A 20,647-nucleotide genomic window follows, 5' to 3' on the forward strand; every position below is an offset into this window, starting at 1 on the left:
ACCAGAGGATGCTGCTGGGAACAGGGATGCTGTGCTGAGTGAAAAAGGCTACTCTGTATACCCTCAATGCACACAAAAAAGATTTAATATGTTGTTGAAAGATGACTCATAGCTGCTAAAGATGGTGCTTTTAAAAGTTTTCATTGAATGTATCTGCTATTAAAATTCGACAGGTACCAGACATCTGCAAAGCAATTCCCTCTGTAACCTGTCAGCCCTGCATGCACCACAGCAAACCCTGTAATTCTGATCAAGTGACATATGGACTGGAAAATGAGTAGCAGCTGCGTATTCAACGAAAATGGCACCGGTATTTAACCTTGTCAAGTGTTTTGAAAGCACACTTGGTAAGAAGTATTTTACTAAACATTAACATTCTATATTCTCCCTTAACTGAATTTAAGTTATGAGAAGCATAACTAACCAGAGACTATTTAGATGAATATTCTTTACAGAAAGTTAGAATTTTTCTCTGTGTAAGTTTAATGTAAATATTTCTAATTACTGATAAAATGGAGAAAAAATTATATGAAACATTTTTCTCATAGAAAAGAATGTAGCTTTGAAAAACTTGAGTGTAAAAGGAATAGAACAAAAGCTGCTGAGCGCTTACAGCCACGATGAGCATTTCAGGACAGTAAAGAGAAAGTGATTACCTGACCACATTCGAAGACTTTATTATTATTCCTATTAAACACCTTGAAAATGGTGGAAGATCAGAAAGATGCTCTGGAGGGGTAAGCTCTTCTACGTCAGAAACCTAAAAAAGTTCCAAATCAGCAAGTTGTAAACAGAGACTAGGCTACTTACTTGTAAATTACATTGCTTTGGGTTTTCTTCAACACCTAAGAAAAACTTTCTAGAAATTCAAAAGAATTATTTTTATTAACTGTTGAAATGTCTACAATAATTATGAATAATCTATTATTATAAACATAAGTGTGTTGGGCGTGGTGGTTCACACCTGTAATCCCAGCGCTCTGGGAGGCTGAGGCAAGAGGAATGCTTGAGGTCAGGAGTTCAAGATCAGGCTAGTCAACATGACAAGACCCTGCCTCTCTAACAAAATTTTAAAATTAGCTGGGCATGGTGGTGCATACCTGTAGTCCCAGCTACTTGGGAGACTGAGGCAGGAGGATCACTTCAGCCCAGGAATTTGAGGCTGTAGTGAGCCATGTATCATGGCACTCCAGCCTGGGTGACAGAGCGACATCCTGTCTCAATATGACAAAAAAAAAAAAAAGATAAACGAAAGTGTTTATTCAGTGAGACAAAAATAAAGAAAAACAGACATATTACTCAATAAGTCTTTCATCAAAAAGTCTTTATCTTGTTATCATCTACTGTAAATAATGTGCTTTTATGCTAAATAAATTTAACATTGTACTCCTGTCTAAATTGGCGTTTCTCAATCTCAGCACTACTGACCTGACCAGCTCGTTCTTTGGGGGATTGGGAGGCTGTGCTAGGTGCTGTTGGAGGCTGAAGAGCATCCCTGGCCTCCACCCACTCAATGCCTGGGGCACGTTGCCCACCCCCTCACCCAGTTGTGCCAAACAAAAATGTTCCTACACATCACAGTGCCCCCTGCAGGGCAGAAGCCCACAGTGAAGTACTGCAAGTTTAGAGCCACGAGGGCACCTGCCTGGACCTGTGCTCTTAATTATCAGCCTTGTGAGCTTCGATGAGCCTTTCACCATGAATTCCACATGCTCCTCAGAAAGTCCAAGTGCAGAATTCCTGCTCCAGGTGGAAACTTATGCCTTGGTTTTCCACCTGTAATAGCTGAGACATGAATATGCCTATCCTACCCCTGTATCTCTCCACCACTGTGTTAGGCCCGATTCTTGGCTATCTTAGGAGATTTCATTTAGGCATGACTAAACAACACTGCTTTTTTTTTTTTAAGAGACATAGTCTCACTCTGTTGCCTAGGCTGGAGTGCAGTGACACAATCACAAATCATAGCTCACTGCAGCCTTGAACTCCTGCCTCAGTCTCCCGAGCAGCCAAAACTACAGGCGTGTACCACCATGCCCAGCTAATTTTTAAATATTTTTTAATAGAGGCAGGGTCGCACCATGTTGCCTAGGTTGGCCTCGAACTCCTGGCCTCAAGCAATCCTCCTGCCTAGGCCTCCCAAAGTGTTGGGATTATGGTGTGAGCTACCGTGCCTGGCCTAGACAGCACTTCCAATAAGTCTTCCCACACTTCCTCTGCCAGGATTATAATACAAATTTGAATATTTAAGTCAATCATCACTATACATCAAATAGCACTGTTTCTCATTAAAATACTTTACATCTTAAAGTGATTGTTGTAAATGCATTTCTTAAACAGTGAGACAAAAGACTATTGACAGATTAAAATAAAAATAATAACAACAGCATAAGGGATAGGAGAACACAACTGGAGATTCCTACCATGCAATGGACAAGCATAATTTCTGAAGGTACTGAGATAAGTTAAACATGCGTGCTGAGATCTCTAGAGAAATCACTAAAAAAAAAAATTACACAAAAGATAATATAAAGTCAACAGAGATAAAATGGCGTAGTAAAAACAATTCATCATAAAAGTGACAGGAAAGAAAAAAAAACAGAAAGACTAACAGAACAGACAGACTGATAGAAAAGAAACAACATTAACTTAAACCCAAACCTATCAATAAATTCATTAAAGTCAAATGGACTAAAAAAAAAAAAGAATGGACTATAACCACGCCAAATGGACGACAACCACGGCAAATGGACGACAACCACGCCAAATGGACGACAACCACGCCAAATGGACGACAACCACGCCAAATGGACGACAACCACGCCAAATGGACCACAACCACGCCAAATGGACCACAACCACGCCAAATGGACCACAACCACGCCAAATGGACCACAACCACGCCAAATGGACCACAACCACGCCAAATGGACCACAACCACGCCAAATGGACCACAACCACGCCAAATGGACCACAACCACGCCAAATGGACCACAACCACGCCAAATGGACCACAACCACGCCAAATGGACTACAACCACGGCAAATGGACTACAACCACGGCAAATGGACTATAACCACGGCAAATGGACTATAACCACGCCAAATGGACTATAACCACGCCAAATGGACTATAACCACGGCAAATGGACTATAACCATGGCAAATGGACTACAACCACGGCAAAGAAAAGTCAGAGGTTGTTGGACTAGATTTTTTAAGCCCTACCCATGTGGGGGTGAGGTTTTAAAAGATAGGCTATGCAAACACAAAGCACAAGAAAGCTGGTTTGGCTGTAAAAATATCAAAGTAGACTTCATGAGGAGTCAGAGCCAGAGAGATTCCACAATAATAGGAGTCAATTCATCAAAAAGAAAAAGCTCCCAAATACAAGAAAATACATGAAAAGAAAATTGACAGAACAAATGAAAAAAGAGACAAACCCACAATCACATATAAAATAAGTAGACAAAATCCATAAGGAAATACAACAGCTGTCAGCAAACTTTTTCTGTAAAGTAACAAAATAGTAAATATTTAAATAGTATAGTAAATATTTTCACCTTTGTGGGCAGAGTTGCAATGGTCTCTGTCATAATTACTCAACTCTGCACAAAAGTAGCCAGAAAAAACACGGCAAATGGGCACAGCTATGTTCCAATAAGACTTTACTGATAAAAAACAGATGGTGAGCCAGATGTGACTCACAGGTCAAACATTTTTTTTATCATTTTTAGCTACATAGCTCACCGGAATAAACAAATCCTAGTTTTTATTCTATTGTGTAATCTAGTAATTACTTTCCAAACCAAAATGATCTCCCTTCAAGCTTTAAGGAAGGCCTTAAATTCTATTTGATGTTTTAGAATTTAGTTAACATCTTTTTATTAGTCATGATTTTATATTACAAAATTTATGATTCACGTAAATATTAAAAATGCATATAATTCAATGACCTTCCCTGTCAGTTTTTATCTTTTCATACAGAGAAGTTTTTTTCTCTATATGAAAACATGATTTTTTACTATTTTCTTAAGAGGTAAAGAGGAAAACAACACCCTGAATATTCCATGTGGGAAAACACCACTTTTTGTTTTGGCTTGAATTATCATCCTGATTATAACATCCTTTAACCAAATAGACTAATAACTTCTGTATTAATAATCATCTTCAATTCATCTACAGCTACCGGTAGGAAAATAAGATAGTCAGTAATAATGAATAACTTGTCTGTTTAAACTGATATTAGCTACATTTTTTTTTCTTTGAGACGGAGTCTCGCCCTGTTGCCCAGGCTGGAGTCCAATGGCGTGATCTCAGCTCACTGCAACCTCCGCCTCCCGGGTTCAAGACTGCCTCAGCCCCCGAGCAGCTGGGATTACAGGTGCGTGCCACCATGCCCAGCTAATTTTTTGTATCTTTAGTAGAGACAGAGTTTCATCATGTTGGCCAGGCTGGTCTCAAACTCCTGACCTCATGATCCACCTGCCTCCACCTCCCAAAGTGCTGGGATTACAGGCATGAGCCACTGCGCCCAGTCTAAACTGACATTAGAAGGTTGAACATCCTAGCTTAGAAATGAAAAAAAGGTGGGGGAGGCTAATAATATAACATGCAAAGATATGTGAACTATTCCACAAAAGCACTCCTAGAGTAGTCTTGTATTCTGCTCACCACTGATTACAACTACTTCTATCCTTTTAGGAGGGAAAATAACCTTAAGAAACTTATCAACTCATTTAAATCTCCTGAATGTAGCATAAAAGCATGTTCAAATGTAAGGACTATATTTCTGTTTTAATCAAGAGTGATAATATCCTTGGTATATGTTTCACAATAGTCACGAGTCTAAAATACTAACTAGCTATCAAACTCTGAGGTGTAGCTGCTAGGAAAGTGCACCACTCACTCAAGTTTGAAAATTCTTAAAAAATACTTTGAGAAACGTAGAGAATGTACTGCTAGTAGAAACACCATCTTGTGTCATCAATAAGAGGCACAGCAGTTTCAGGATTAAAGCACTTCACCTTCCGTAGCTGGTGACTTATCTCAACCACAGGCCCAGCGATCAGAGTAGAAAGTACACCCCGGTGCACAGGGGTGTCTGTGTGCCGAGACTGAACAGCAGTAATGAACTCATGAAGAGGCCTCTGAACAGAATAAAGCAGCTACAAGAAAACACATACGTCACTTTTAATGACTAAAAACCATGGTTTTGAAAAAAACAAAAAAACACTTTAAAATAAGTATTCTTACTATCCTCCCCCAGGACTCAAGGAGTCACTGATCTTGTTTGCCTGCTACCAGTGCCCACTACATTCCACTCCCAGGCTGACTCAAACCTCCTATGCACCACGGCCAGAAGATGATAGACGGGACCAAAGCCCACTGGGAACTGCCCTGATGATATTCTTTCCCCAAAGCCAAGAAAAACCCTCAGGAATAAGGAGGGAGAGAGGCAAAACATCAATACATTAAAATAAGGCATCAGCTATGAGGCAATGTATTCTGACTAAAGCTACACAGGTCTGATGGGAAACCTAAAGGTTTTGGCACAAATTACATAAAAGATCACAGGCACTTGAAACAAATTCATCAAAAACAGGAACATTTCAAATGAACTCAAATTGAACTAGACTAGAAAAAGTATGGCCAACAACCTTCAATGACCTCTATCAGCAAAGGACACCGAGTCTTCAATATTTCATAAATAGCCTCCCATTTAAGCATTTTTTAAAGTCTTCATTAAAAAATAATAGCTCATTGATATTTTTAAGCTACTACCTAGAAAAAGTAATGGCTCTCTCTGATAACAACATCACGTGGTACGAGAACTGACATGACATTGTTTTTAGGATGAAGCAAATCTGGCAGACAGGTTTTTATATGAAGTGCTTATACAACAATCTCACTTCACATCAGCTTTCAACCAGCAAAGGGAAGCCACGGGCCCCTTCAAGGTCTGTGACTCTCGTTTCCAACCTGGAGAAGGTTAACATAGGACAGGGAGGTAACTCATGACAGAAATTAGCATTTCACCTGACAAGATGTCTGCCACTCTACAAGTATCAAAATTAGCATCTTTCAAAAGAAAGGTATATTTTATTTGGAAAACTCTGTGAACTTAACAATTATGCGCTCAGAACCCAGAGCAATCAGTCCTCTGCTTCCTGTCCTGCCGTCTGGTCAACCTGAACTCTTGGGATCCTGTTCTAAGACCATTGGGTAGAATCTAACAGCTGGAGCTCCTGCCCTTCCTGCCTCCAGCCCATGCACAGGGGTCACCATCTCCCTCTCAGTGTATCCACCATGGGGGACTCCCACACGGACTCCATCTCTCTCAGTGCACCTCGCCAGCAGGGACCTCCCACACAACACTGCGTGTCACCCGAGCGTGAACAGCACAGCCAGGGCTGATGCATCTGTGTAGGTGTAGCCAGCCCTGAAAAGCCCATCTAGCGAACCCCGTCCTGGGGAGTTCTGAGTACCCGCAGGCCTTCTTCCGGCTGCTTCCTGAAGCTCCGTGCAATACATTCCAACATTTTCTGAAATACTTTCTGGACTGTGTCCAACAGCATTGCAACTTCTTCATCTGAATCTGTTTTCTGAATCAAGGAACTTCCAGTTATCTCTTTCAGAATGTCAAGAAGTAATGAAACATAAAAAAATCCCTTCACTAGAAAGAAAATTGGAATATATCAGTTTTCTAATCACACAAGTTTGTTGAAATCATTACACATTTCTCACTTAACACATGTATAAAATGGTAACAAAAAAGAGATTATTACACTTTGGTATTTGGTGAGCCAATACCAAAAGCCAGGTTGATCAGGTTAACCTAAATTCTAACCAAAATAAATAAATAAGTATGACGTTTGTCCCATTTAAGTTAAAACTGATATCTTCAATAACAGTAATAGTGTATTAGTCACTAAACTAAAAATTGTGTTCATTGCACATGTGAACATACAGAAGTTCAGCAGTGTGGTTCCCTCAACACCTGAATTAGAGAACAGTGTTGTTGGTTCTGTTTTATTTTTAAGAGAACAGATATACCTATACAATGAAACTGGCTACACTGGAGATCTAGAATTCTAGTTATAATTAGCTCCTCCAAAAAGTAAATTTTTTAAATAATAAAAGTAGATTTGGTCCTTACGGGAAAATAATTCCTAAATGATAAGTGAAGTTTAAAAAATAAATAATTTTGACTGTTGCAATCATTAAGCTTAAGTATAAAATGCTGTTTTCACAACAGAAGTGAATTATAAAGAATTAAACAGGCTGGGTATGGTGGCTCACGCCTGTAATCCCAGCACCTTGAAAGGCCAAGGTGGGTGGATCACTTGAGTTTGAGACCAGCCTGGCCAAGACAGTGAAACCTCACCTCTACTAAAAATACAAAAATTAGCCAGGCATGGTGGTGGGCACCTGTAATCCCAGCTACTCAGGAGGCTGAGGCATGAGAATTGCTTGAACCTAGAGGTGGAGGTTGCAGTGAGCCAAGGTCGCACCACTGCACTCCACTCCAGCCTGGGCAACAGAGAAAGACTTGGTCTCAAAAAAAAAAAAATAAAAAAAAAAATAATAATAATAATTAAACAAAAAAGCTGAAGCAAATAATATTGGTCTATTTAATATTTACTCTTAAACTTTAGATCTGTTAAACAAATGATGGATGATTTTGCTTATAATTAAAGATTAACTAAGACACTGCCCAGTATCCTGGCTCCAGTGTTCTCCTAGCATCTACTTCAGTTGCAACGTCATGAAGACAGATACACTGGGGGTGTCCACACACACAGACCCCTCTGGAATCTGCCATGAAGATATTTAAGGCTATGGGAAAGAGACTACAGATGGATCCACTAGAAATTGGACAACCAACTTAATCTAATTTTCAAAACTTAATGTTGAATTTACTAAATGTTATCATTTTCAATCTCTTCTAGCAAATAACTAGGCTTAAAGAAATGTCAACATCAAATGTTGAGGCTTTTACAGATCTCAGTGAGAATCAAATGCAGCACTGGGATATTGGGATACTACTTAAAAACCATCCAGAAACAGGTTTACACAGCAGTCAGCTACACCACAGAAGCGGCTGAGGGGGAGGCTGGCCGTTAGGGGTTAGGGAGTAGGGGCTAGGAGCTAGGGGCTAGGGGCTAGGCGTCAGGGGCCAGGGACCAGGGTCCCAGCTCAGCAGTACTCTTCTTTACCAGACTGTGATCAGAAGGCCAAGGAGATATGGAATGACCCCAGCTGCACTCCCCCTGGCCCCACACCCTTTCCCGTCATCATCTGATGTGATTCGAGGGCTGTCCTCTCACTCACTGTTGCCATGGGTCACCCTGTGCTAACCCTTTCCCTGTGGTAACAGCAACTTCCGGGGGTCCTGGTGGGGTACCACCCAATAATGTCTGACTCACGCCCCCATCCACAGGAGCACATGACCAGAGCAGAGCAAAAAGGTGATGGTTTCCCACACAGATGCCAGGAAATAGCCACTAGCCCAATCCACAGGGAAAGTCAGCCTGGCAACAAAGCTGACCACAAGGACAGGCAGAATCCCAAGGACCCTGTCACAAACTCTGGATGTAGTCATGTCTGACACAGAAACACCTCTTAATTTCCGGGCTGAACCACCTAACAAATCCCTTTTTTGGGATATGCCAGGTTGCATTATAATCAGTCACTTAAAAGTGAGAGTTCTGAGCTACACAGTAAAGGAGGGAGGGAGGGAAGGACTGGTTCTGAGTATTTATTGCTCTAAAACAGCCCTGACTGTACCTGTTTGCATGATTCCAAGACTCCGCTGTAAGAGTTGCATCTGAAACTGATGGTCACCAAGGCCTACCATAACAACATCTTTACACACAGTCAGGTAGGTCTGTAAGAGACAGACACAGCTTAGCAACAAAGGCCATTTTTAAAAAGGGAGTAAATCCAGCCTCACAAAGCTTCTCCTATCCATGTGCTAGTTATCTTATAAAGCAGATTTTTATAAAGATGTTTTATAAAGGAATTTTCATAAAGATACATTAATTCTTGTTTTTGTAAGAAATCTAGAGACATATTTTATGTAATTCCACAAACATAATCGAACACCTCTTATATGTAATGTATAAAATTACACTGAAAGTATGCAGTTTACGCTTTGCAAAAAGATAAACTAGAAAGTTAGATAAATGTCCCTGTAAGTTTTTAAGAATAACACTAATGTCTAAAATTACCACTCTAAAGTAGAAAATGAAATCCTGAAACATAACAAACTTGGTAAAGAGAAAGTTTTCTGTGTCTTAAGACTTCTAACCTGGATAATTTGCTGATAAATGACCCTATGAAGCTTCAGGTAGTCTTCTTCTTGATCTTGAATAAAAGATAAAATTTTGCTTTCTAACCAAAAGCCAGTGTCTTCCAACATGGACAAATACACCTTTCCTTCTGAGCAGAACTGTCCAAAAACAAGAAGATAAATCAGTAACAAAAAGAGCACTGTGTATCATCCTAATAGAGGGCCAGGAGCAGGCACACCTTGTGCTGAAGATGGATGCTCAGGCGACAGTGGAGACCAAAGGCTCGCGGGGCAGCTGCTTCACTGAAGCCACGAGGCTTCCCACCCGGTGTCTGCAGAAGTGACTCCAGATCTGCCTGTAATAGAAAAAACCCAAGGGCCACATGCTGACTGACAAGGCACCACCACACCCCGTACAGCAAGAACAATGGGAAGCACCTGATCCTCAGGCGAGCTGAAAAGACCCCCGCTCTGGTGAAGCCCAGTGTCTGCTGACTCTGCACCCGGACATGAGGTGCTGGGTGGTATGGGAAAATGTACAGCCAGGTGAGCAGCCTCAGCTCACCGTCCACAGCCCTTGCCCTGCACGCAGCACCACCCGTCCCCTCCCTGCCTCATGACCAGGCCCCGTCCTCCCCATCTGCCTGGCTCCACTCTGCTGGGGCTTTGCTTCTGGTACAGTCACACTTGAGGGCAGCGTAACAGGGTGTTCAGAGGGCTGGCTCCTGGAGGAGAGGAAGAGATGACGGCCTCCGTGGGACAGCTGGGAGCATGATGGGTTCCCAGGAAATGCTCTCCAAACATTCCCAGAAAAAACTGCCAAGGACTGCAGGGAGTGAGTGTCCACATGAAAGGGTATGTGACACATCTCCTGCAGAGGGTGTGTTCTGAGACACTGGGGCCATCCTCCTGAGTCCTAGCGCCCTAGCAGGTGCAACACAAATGTGAGATTTCTGAACACGTGTCAACTGGGACTTGACTCCCAACCTTGCCCTGGCCAGGCTCCATGCCTTGTACCAACTGAATGAGGTGACATGATCACTCTCAATTCTGTTCCAGCCAGAACACTTGTATAGCACTGTAAATATGAAAGCTTCACACTTTGATTTGTCACCCCCACAATCATAGGAAACCACTCAACTCTCAGGGCACAGAGTTACCTTTGACGTTTCAAGGGCTTTCAAAAGATGGTTAAGTTTCTTCCGAGGAGCAGAGAGCAAGCACTCGCGGTTCTTTGGATGAGTCAGCAGATACTCAATGTAGACCAATGCCAATTCAGGTTTGACTGGGCGTGTGTCATGGATCTGCACCCTACCTTTAGAAGCTGTGTTGCTCTGAAAGAAGAGAGAGAGAAACTGATAATGAAAACACACGTCCCTAGAAAAGCATGTAATTTCTAATACACAGTTATCCTCACTCACCTAATTTTAAGGAAACATGATGTCAACCTACCTTGGCCTGGGCATGCTCTGTGGGCAGCCAGTTGTCAACAAGCTCCAGAATGTGCCCCACCTGCCCCCAGGAGCAGAGGCAATCCAACAAAGTGCAGTAGCTCTTGTCCACAGCGCCCTCCTCCCGGCTTCTCAGCGTGGAAATCACACCACAGCTGAAAATGTCAGACGGAAAATCGGACTGAGTATTTCAACGGAGACTCCCCAACTTTGTCAAAAGGTGAGGAAAACCAAGAAGCTAAAATCTGACGGTGCATAAGCCCTTGTTATTATATTAGCACTTCCATGCTCTCCAATGCAGGAATAAATACAGTTTCCCACAATTGCTGCTCAGCTGCATCCCACCACAAGACCTGAGACCAGCTCTGGACACTGAAGAAGCAGGGCACAGCAGCCACACAAAGCCCTCATCCTTCTGTTTCTGTGCCATCTGTCAGATTCTAGAGCAAGAGTTTCTACTTTTGAAGAACAATTTTTGTTTAGCATCAAAATATTCCTTTTTCTTCCACAAATATGAATAAAAATAATTTTTATTGAGATAATCACCAACATTGTAGAGCTCTAATGAAAAATATTATGAGACACAAAAGCCACAAATGTAATTAAAAATTTTCTAGTACCCACATTTGAAAACACAAAGAGAAACAGGTAAAACTAATTTCAATAACATAATCTTATTTAATCTAATCTATCCAAAATCATTTTAACATGTAATCAATATTTCACACTCTTCTTTTTGCCTCAAGGCTGACTCCATATGTATTTTGTACTCACAGCACATCTCAGCTCAAATAGCCAAAGCCCAGGTGCTCAGGGCCACATGTGACCAACGGTGACCTTGTGCTCCAGAACCTCCCACACCAGGTGCTAAGAGTAACCCCAGACTTAAAGTGGAGTAACAGTTTCAGTTCCATGCAGTCTCTTCTTTCATCACGTACTAACTTAGGGCCCATTGAAAATCACATCCTTGAGGGAGGTGGGGGGGTCAGCCCCCCACCCGGCCAGCCGCCCCGTCCGGGAGGTGAGGGGTGCCTCTGCCTGGCCGCCCCTACTGGGAAGTGAGGAGCCCCTCTGCCTGGCCACCACCCCGTCTGGGAGGTGTACTCAACAGCTCATTGAGAACAAGCCATGATGACAATGGCGGTTTTGTGGAATGGAGAGGCGGGAAAGGTGGGGAAAAGATTGAGAAATTGGATGGTTGCCGTGTCTCTGTAGAAAGAAGTAGACATGGGAGACTTTTCATTTTGTCCTGTACTAAGAAAAATTCTTCTGCCTTGGGATCCTGTTGATCTGTGACCTTACCCCCAACCCTGTGCTCTCTGAAACATGTGCTGTGTCCACTCAGAGTTAAATGGATTAAGGGCGGTGCAAGATGTGCTTTGTTAAACAGATGCTTGAAGGCAGCATGCTCGTTAAGAGTCATCACCACTCCCTAATCTCAAGTACCCAGGGACACAAACGCTGCGGAAGGCCGCAGGGTCCTCTGCCTAGGAAAACCAGAGACCTTTGTTCACTTGTTTATCTGCTGACCTTCCCTCCACTATTGTCCTGTGACCCTGCCAAATCCCCCTCTGTGAGAAACACCCAAGAATGATCAATAAAAAAAAAAAAAAAAAGAAAATCACATCCTGATATTTTCCCTACCACAGGGAGAGGGAAGGGCAGAAGGAAGAGGCCACAGTGAGCTGAAAGCTAAATGTTATGGTCTGCTGACATGAATTAATAATTCAGCACAACAATGGACAGGATTCCTACTTTTCTACCGTACCAAAAAACAGAGCAAATACCTGAATGGGGGGACAGCAGAGGCCGGCATAAAGGACATTAGCATGAATAAAGGGATCTTGCAGCGATCATCCTAAAAGCGAAAAAAGAAAAACAAAACAAAGCATATGTAAGCACTATAAATTCTGAAAGTCTCTCTACGTAAATTCCTGATAACTTACTACCAAAGTTGCTCAAGAAGAACCATGGCAGTCCTTTCCACGTTCAAAAGGAAAACTTAAACCAGCCTCATGTTTGAGGGGCAGAGAAAATTACTTGGTGAGTGTTATGGAAGTTTTATATAACATTTTACTACTTTGCAAATATTTATTAAGCACTTGCTATGTACCCAGTACCAATCTAGACCCTGGGAATATGCCAGTAAGCAGGATAAACAAAATCATATGCTGTCATGAATTGAATCTACTTTAAAAAACAACACTGATGAAATGAAAAAAAATTAACTCTATACACTTGGTATCCTGAACACAAATCTCAAAAGAAGGAAATTATTCAGAGAAAATGTTATAAAACAAAATCAGAATATCTTTAGGAAGACAGTATAGTTCAAGGGAAAATGCAGTGGGGCATAGTGGCTCATGCCTCTAATCCCAACGCTTTGTGAGCCTGAGGTGAGAGGACTGCGTGAGGTCAACAGTTAGAGGCTACAGTAAGCATTCACTCCAGCCTGGGCAACAGGGCATTATATTTAAAAAAAAAAAAAAAAAAAAAAGGCCAGACACAGTGGCTCACCCCTGTAATCCCAGCACTTTGGGAGGCTGAGGCAGCTGGATCACCTGAGGTTAGGAGTTCGAGAGCAGCCTGATCAACATGGTGAAACCCTGTTCCTACTGAAAATTCAAAATTAGCCAGGCATGGTGGCTCACGCCTGTAATCCCAACTACTCGGAAGGCTGGGGCAGAAGAATCGCCTGAACCCAGGAGGCAGAGGCTGCAGTGAGCTGAGATTGTGCCACTGCACTCCAGCCTGGGTGACAAGAGCAAGACTCCATCTCAAAAAAAAAAAAAAAAAGAAGAAAAAAAAAAGTAAGCTTTGAGGCTACTGAACCAAATCTAGACCCAATCAGATTCTGTAGCCCAACAGCTGACATAGCACAGAGGAGAGGAGTTAAGCTCTCAGAGTCAGTTTCTCCCTTTGCAAAAGGAACACAGGACTGTTGGAAGAACCAAAGTGAACTACACCACACAGAATCCCAGTACAGTATTTAGAGTGTCCTCAGTGCTTAGTAAATTGCAGCTAAATTATTATTACTAAAACAATAAGTAAAAGGGGGTACATCCACCCTTCCTCAAGAACACTCAATAAGAGATATTCTTGGCTGGGAGAATGAGGACATGGTGAATCCTAAAATAATGATAATAATAATAATTTTCCTGAAAATACATATGAAACAGAAACAAACCAAAATCAAAATTTGATTAGGAATTAATTTGCATTCACAGTGACCCATCCTTACCCCCAACTAACAATATGGGAAGAAAATGTCTTGTTAATGGCTGGGCACGGTGGCTCACGCCTGTAATCCCAGCACTTTGGGAGGCCGAGGCAGGCGGATCATGAGGTCAGGAGATCGAGACCACCCTGGCTAACACGGTGAAACCACGTCTCTACTAAAAATACAAAAATATTAGCCACGAATGGTGGCAGGCGCCTGTAGTCCCAGCTACTCGGGAGGCTGAGGCAGGAAAATGGCGTGAACCCGGGAGGCGAGGCTTGCAGCCAAGATCACTCCACTGCACTCCAGCCTGGGCGACAGAGCGAGAAAAAAAAAAAAAAAGAAAATATCTCGTTAATGTTACAAGTATACTGATAATGATGGCCAATTCCATCTGTGTGGCTCACCCATCATCTCTTTACTTAGAGAAGGAAGCAATTTTCCTTAGTGGTGGAGAGACTTCTTATAGACATACTCAGAATTAACTGAATCCCAAGACCCTCTAAGGGTTTCAAATACCCCAAGGCCACAACTGCCCTGTCCGCCAACCTACCTGGTGTCCTATATGGGCTTCTGTTCATATTCTGAAATAATGCTGGTTTCTCAGTCCCAGGTCATTATTTCAGCTTTCTTTTTTTTTTTTTTTTTTTTTTTTTTTTAAAAGAGGCAGGGTCTCACTCTGTTGCCAGGGCTGGAGTGAGTGCAGTAGTATGATCACAGTTCACTGTAGTCTCAAACTCTGGGCTCAAGCAATCCTGCCTCAGCCTCCTGCATAGCTGGGACCAAAAGGCACAGGCCATCAAGCCCAGCTAATTTTTTAAATTTTGTAGAAACGAGGTCTCACTATGTTGCCCAGGCTAGTCTCAAACTCCCAGCCTGAAGCAATCCTCCTGCTTTGGCCTCGAAAAGTGCTGGGATTACAGGTGTGAACCACCATGCCCAGCTAATGAGCTTTACCATTTACTGGTAAATTATGGTTTGGCTGTGTCCCCACCCAAATGTCCTCCTGAATTGTAGCTCCCATAATTCCCACGTGTTACGGGAGGGACACGGTGGTAGGTAACTGAATCCTAGGGGTGGTTTCTCCCATACTGTTCTTATGGTAGTAAGTCTCACGAGATCTGATGGTTCTCTAAGGGGTTTCCCTTTGTGCTTGGCTCTCATTTTCTCTCTGCCTGCCACCATGTAAGACGTGCCTTTTGCCTTCCGTCATGACTGTGAGGCTTCCCCAGCCATATGGAACTGTGAGTCCATTAAACCTCTTTTTCTTCATAAATTACCCAGTCTCAGGTATGTCTTTATCAGCAGCATGAAAACAGACTAATACAATTTTGGCAACTAATACAATCTGCTTTCACGTCAGAGGCAGACAGGCCATGCTTTCACGTCAGAGGCAGAATGAAGCTCAGGGCCTTGAAAGGGTTAGAAAAGCTACATGGTCCAAAGTCACATAAGTAGGTAGAAAAAGAGGCAAGAGTAACATTTAGGAAGAGAAATGTGGTTCATAAGACCTACGATCTTTCTATATTTAAACCACACTTTCTTCAGAGTTAAGAATATATTTGCATTTTTACATGCTGTTGGCCTATTTTTAAATTTAGTTTTGAAATATAAACTTCCTTCAGAAGTAAAAAGTCAAGGAATGAGAAGGTCCTGCATGCAAATAGAAATCACGCACAGAGAAGAGTGGTGGGGGTGGGAAGGGTTAGCTAAAGGATTCAAAATTGCAGTTAGATCAGAGGAGTAAGTTCAAAAGATCTATCCTATAACATGGTGACTCCAGTTAATAACAATACAATATATTCTTGAAAATCACCGCGAGCAGATTTTAAGCATTCTCGCCACAGAAATGGTAAGTATGTGAGGCTCGATTTGGCCATTCCACAATGTGTACATATTTCAAAACATCATGTTGAACACAATAAAGTATATACAACTTTTGTCAATTCAAAATAAATTTTTTTAAAAAAGAAATCACACACACAACTGTTTGCCCCAACAACACACACAACTCAAATACTTCAGGGACATATTTGCTTACTGGGTGCCTTCGGGTACCTAACTGCCCACAGAACTTGAGTACTACTGTACCTCCATGTTCACGAAACTCTTTCTTAAACCCCTGCAAATCAAATTAGATTCTGAAATAATGTCGCTGACCATCGGAGGCAGAAGAATCATGTGCTTACCCAAGACGTTTCTCTGGGTGCTGAGGATATGGAAGCAGACAGAGACACAAGATCTCCACCCTCAAGAGGGGCAACAGAAAGAAACTATACTGCAAGGTAAACACTAATCCAACCCTCTCATTTTACAGATGAGAACACAGATCCAGGGAGGTAAACATGTTTGAGAACTTTTGTTAAATTCTAAACAAACGTAACCTTAATATACCTTGCTTACAAGTATAGTTCAAGACTTACCTTAAATACTTTCAGATACTCTGGAAGCACAGAGGCAAACTTGTTAATCGTGTAAAGTTTGGCCTCTTTATTATTTTCCATACTTCTGTCAATACTTTTCCAGAGAATCACAATGATTTCTAGTAAACCTGCCATGCATGCAACATCGTTTACTGACAGTGTTTTGTCCAGAACCTAAGATAAAAATAATTTTATTGTGAAAGGATCTAATCATAGCAACTACTAAAAGGTAACAGCATCTCAGAATTAGAGCTCTAAAGCAAAAATGTAGAGAACATCCGTCTTACTTTCACGTCTTCTACTCTCCACTTTAGAATCTTCTAGGGAGGTAAATTTATTTTTAAATGCCCACCACGATATAAATTCCAAACTGACTCTACATCCTTTAAAGAAACAGTTTACATGAAGAAAACTCCTCTAAAAAGGAAAACGTATCAACTATTGTCTCCATCTGGGAACATAACACCCTATTAAAAAACATGCCTTTTCTTTCACTGTATCTTCTGTTTTATTAAAAGACATCACTTTTCACCACAAATCTCGATGCAGGGGGAGGGGAATGGTGAAGGCTGCTTTCCTCCAAGGTGACTGCTACTGAAACTCAGCCGCCAAAACCCAGCCTATCAGGTCACAGAAAGGACACAGTCTCTGGTTGGCCAACTCCACCCTACAGGCAGGCAGAACACAGCCTGAGAGGCTGGAATAATGACTATGATCATGGGCTTCTTTAGTTTGTTTTAAAATAAATAGACCTACTTACACTTTCCTGAACATATGCTGATAGTGCACAGTACTCACCTGTTCACTGTAAACTACAAACACACTCTAACAAATTCCTCTTCTACCCAGAGCCAGCAGTCCCACGCTGTCAACGCGGCAAGCCACACGTAAGTGCATTGTGGCTGCATGCCAGTAAGCGGACATGCCCACTCACCAGCACAGACACACAGCCAGACCCACCAACAATCCCTGCTGTCGAGGCCTGTCACGCAACTCTAACGTATACTGAGGGAGAAGCCCTGAGAGAAGAAACTCAAACTCCACCGACCAAGAGCAGAACCAGCTCTGAAGCTCTGAACACTGGCAGTGAGGGTGTAGTGAGCCCAGGGAGGTGGCCTGCCCAACGGCTGTGAAGACGGAAGTGGCTCTCACTCTCACTGAACTCTTCTCTCTATTCCACATCTATTTCCTGTATGTTTTTGGTAAGTGCCTTCTGAACAATTTCAACCCAGCATAACTGACTGAGGGGCTGGGCTGGTGGCCCATCACGGTGTGGTGGGAGATGGAGGAGAAAGCACCATGGGGCATGAGCAGGGCCTGGGTGAGCCATCTGCTGCCCCTGCTAGGAAGGACACAGTGGGGTCAGACCCAGAAGCACTTGGCTCAGGACCAGCTGTTAGGGGAGCACACCAACACTGTGCCTCAGCACAGGGCAAACTGTGTTTTGTGATTTCCTTTTAAAGTCTAGTTTCTTAATGTAGTGGGCATTGCAAAATGACCCCAAAATCTTACTTTAGACGTCCACAAGCACAGGAGTTTAGAAGCTTAAGATAATGCTTATAAGTAACAAGTTTGTCTAAGTCTTAAACGTTATTTTCTTCTAATATAATTGGTTGCTTTGGATTCTGAAGAAATTGTCCCTTTAATAAATTATACTTTCAAAAATATGGGAGTACCCAGAATCCAATCCAGCCATGCTACATCCAGGATTGAACTGAAATACAGAGACATTTAAGGTAAAGAAAATCTGGGACAAGATGTGACTGGTAAGAATTTTTCTTCTGTATTAAGTCCTACCTGAGCTCCAAAATGAACTACAAAGGACATATAGCAATTCTTTCACAAATGTTATTTATGACCTTCCAAAATAACTTGTTTAATTAACAATACTAAAGGAACAAAGAAAACATAGGAATATTCCTAACATAATGGCCCATGGGAGTGATGCCACTGAGGCACTATCTGCCCGGCCTGGCCCTGTTCTACTCACAGTCACATTCTCCTTCTCCCTTCCGTCCTCTTCCTCCTCGTCCTCTGGAGGCTCTCTCACTGCCCTCTGGATACAGGCATTTAAGCAATGACGAATAACGTGAATCAGCTTTGCTGAAATGTTTAGGATAAACAAGAATTAATGGATGTGTTTCTTCTACAAAATTAACTATCTGATAGTGAAATTATAATCCCAATTAGTCAAAAGTACTATTTTAAGGGAAATCATTCAGAAATGCATTAAAGTATGAAGCTTATTAAATTGACAAATACTGAACTCTGTAATTTGTATTATGCTTTTGGGGGAAAACATAACAAGAACTGAGAAATAACAGCACTCCCTACCTATGTTGGTGCAGGCGGTGTGTTCGTGGGCGTACTGATAGAACCTCCTGGCAGCGGCGTGGTTCATCTGCACCAGGGTGACACAGCGCTCGCACCAGACCTCCTCCGGCTGATTCACAGGCAGGAAAGAATTAAAGATGAGGCTCACCAGGCGCCGAGACACAGGTCGAGAATCAGTTTCCAGACGAACCAGAATGTGCTCCATGGGACATATTTTCCAAAACTGTGCAAAAAGCACATATGCAGAAGGAAATAATCAATTGTGCCTGTAACCCTGGAAACAGCTTAAGAAAAATTTCAAGCACAACCAAAAAAGGAACTAATTTTTATATTTAAAAAAATTCACTTCGAATGACTACACCAAAATCTGTGACTTTCTGTAGAGAAATTAGAATTAATAAATCTATATTTTTAAAAGTACTGTTATATAAGGCACCCAAGTATTAGGGTGCTAAGAGGTTTAATTAAAATTACTTAACACCATGATTAACATACAGTAAACTCTCCAATGATAGCTATGATTGTCAATTAATATTTTTTAATTTCTTAAAGTACCTTAACTTTTGGCCCATTAATGTGAAAAGTGAGTAAAAATATATACAACGTTTTTGACGTGGACACTCCATCTCCTATCTAAGAGGCTGGGGCATCACTCCTGAATCCCTGGGGCTGCCTGTCCCATCCACAGTTGACTCCTTCTCTGACACAAGCCTGCCCAGATCATCATGGACGCCCACAGCCTAGTCTCATCTCCCCGCACCCATCTCACATGCAGCCTCCAGACAACCTGCAAAAATCAGAACTGATCATAGTGATAGCGTCCCTCTTCTCAAAAGCATTCGAACTACCTACAGAAAGCAAGCACCAATCTTCTGCACAAGAAATCCAAGACAAAAGAAAAATGCAGAACATGACAAAGCAAAATTGAATGGCACCACATCAAGCCCTGCCTCGGGCTCCTCACCTGCATGGTGAGCGAAACCCTCGACCTTGCATTTTTCTCAAGAACCTTGCTCCAAGGACCAATCCTTCTTTCTAGTATTTTCAATTGGATCTTTCTTCTTTACATCATTCCAACTCTTAGAACAAAAACCCACACACAAAACTCAACCTGAGGTTCCCATCTCCTGGTTCCCACCTTCCCTCCCCCTTGTCAGTCGACCTGCTCCTAAGTGTGCCTGCATCCCACCTCCACCTCCATATCTCACCTCCCAACCCCATTGACAATGCAGTCCACCCTCACTGAAGTTGTTCTTGCCAAGGTCATGATCTCATACTGCAAATTCAAATAGACATATGAACGCCCTCAACTCAGACAAAATCTGCAGCATCTGACACTGTCATTACTACCTCCTGAAGCGCCCCGGGGATACTTCCACTCAGGCACTTCTTGGTATTTCTGAAAAAGTTACTGTAGTAAGGACAATAAGCCCAAATCCCACACGGGGCAGTTTACTCACATTCTAGCATTGGAAAGACAGAGCAACCCCAGTACTTCAAGCAGCCACAGGACAGTGGACAGGGCCAAGGTTCCCAGCTCTCACCTACAGCCACAGGGACAAGAATCTTCTGCCAAACCTGACTGAAGCCTTGGAAATTAAGGGACTGGAGATTTCTTACCTAAGGGTGAGAGGCTGTGCTGTCACGGTTTAAGAGGACAAGAAAGAGAAAAATACTAGGACTCATATTCTGACCAGAGAACAACTGTCCACCTCCATCCTGAGCCCCTTCTGCCTGTCCCAACACACGAAAGCCTCCTGGCCACAGGCTCCAGCCCCAACGGGTGGTTACTTCTGACAGCGAGGTATCAAGCCCTGAACACTGCACCAGCGGGCCTGCAGGTGACAGTGCTGTTGGCAACCAACCTGTCTGGAAATGCCTGAGGATGTCAAGCACAGAACCAAGTGCCTGAGCCACTATTTA

At 42.4% G+C, this 20,647-nt stretch overlaps 1 protein-coding gene across 20 annotated transcripts in view, besides 3 other annotated features; it reads right to left on the reverse strand.

Moving 5' to 3' along the window:
* Window positions 1–20,647, reverse strand: part of NCAPG2 (non-SMC condensin II complex subunit G2) — a 73,636-nt gene that overhangs the window by 14,635 nt on the left and 38,354 nt on the right. For 6 of the 20 annotated variants that reach the window (NM_017760.7, NM_001281932.2, XM_047420539.1 and 3 more), the window contains 12 exons: window positions 18,725–18,947; window positions 18,381–18,493; window positions 16,391–16,564; window positions 12,535–12,605; window positions 10,749–10,902; window positions 10,457–10,630; window positions 9,536–9,652; window positions 9,315–9,455; window positions 8,792–8,891; window positions 6,490–6,677; window positions 5,029–5,169; window positions 657–760 (listed from right to left, as the gene is read on the reverse strand). In NM_017760.7, coding sequence (NP_060230.5) covers window positions 657–760; window positions 5,029–5,169; window positions 6,490–6,677; window positions 8,792–8,891; window positions 9,315–9,455; window positions 9,536–9,652; window positions 10,457–10,630; window positions 10,749–10,902; window positions 12,535–12,605; window positions 16,391–16,564; window positions 18,381–18,493; window positions 18,725–18,947 — 1,700 coding nt within the window. Of the gene's footprint in view, window positions 1–656; window positions 761–5,028; window positions 5,170–6,489; window positions 6,678–8,791; window positions 8,987–9,314; window positions 9,456–9,535; window positions 9,653–10,456; window positions 10,631–10,748; window positions 10,903–12,534; window positions 12,606–16,390; window positions 16,565–18,380; window positions 18,494–18,724; window positions 18,948–20,647 lie in introns of those variants that run through there. The other 14 variants (XM_005249547.4, XM_047420544.1, XM_047420545.1 and 11 more) reach the window with 5 other exon arrangements.
* Window positions 16,860–17,361: an enhancer, noted in NCBI's record as "H3K4me1 hESC enhancer chr7:158455355-158455856 (GRCh37/hg19 assembly coordinates)". NCBI's record gives its function as "activates a minimal SCP1, AML or CMV promoter by ChIP-STARR-seq in naive H9 embryonic stem cells {active_cell/tissue: H9 hESC(naive)}" and the evidence as "EXISTENCE:reporter gene assay evidence [ECO:0000049][PMID:30033119]".
* Window positions 17,362–17,861: an enhancer, noted in NCBI's record as "H3K4me1 hESC enhancer chr7:158455857-158456356 (GRCh37/hg19 assembly coordinates)". NCBI's record gives its function as "activates a minimal SCP1, AML or CMV promoter by ChIP-STARR-seq in naive H9 embryonic stem cells {active_cell/tissue: H9 hESC(naive)}" and the evidence as "EXISTENCE:reporter gene assay evidence [ECO:0000049][PMID:30033119]".
* Window positions 18,142–19,341: an enhancer, noted in NCBI's record as "MED14-independent group 3 enhancer chr7:158456637-158457836 (GRCh37/hg19 assembly coordinates)". NCBI's record gives its function as "activates an origin of replication core promoter dependent on BRD2, BRD4, P300/CBP and CDK7 cofactors, and independent of MED14, by STARR-seq in HCT116 cells {active_cell/tissue: HCT116}" and the evidence as "EXISTENCE:reporter gene assay evidence [ECO:0000049][PMID:35650434]".

This window comes from Homo sapiens, chromosome 7 (genome assembly GCF_000001405.40).
Source record: "Homo sapiens chromosome 7, GRCh38.p14 Primary Assembly".
NCBI lineage: Eukaryota > Metazoa > Chordata > Mammalia > Primates > Hominidae > Homo > Homo sapiens.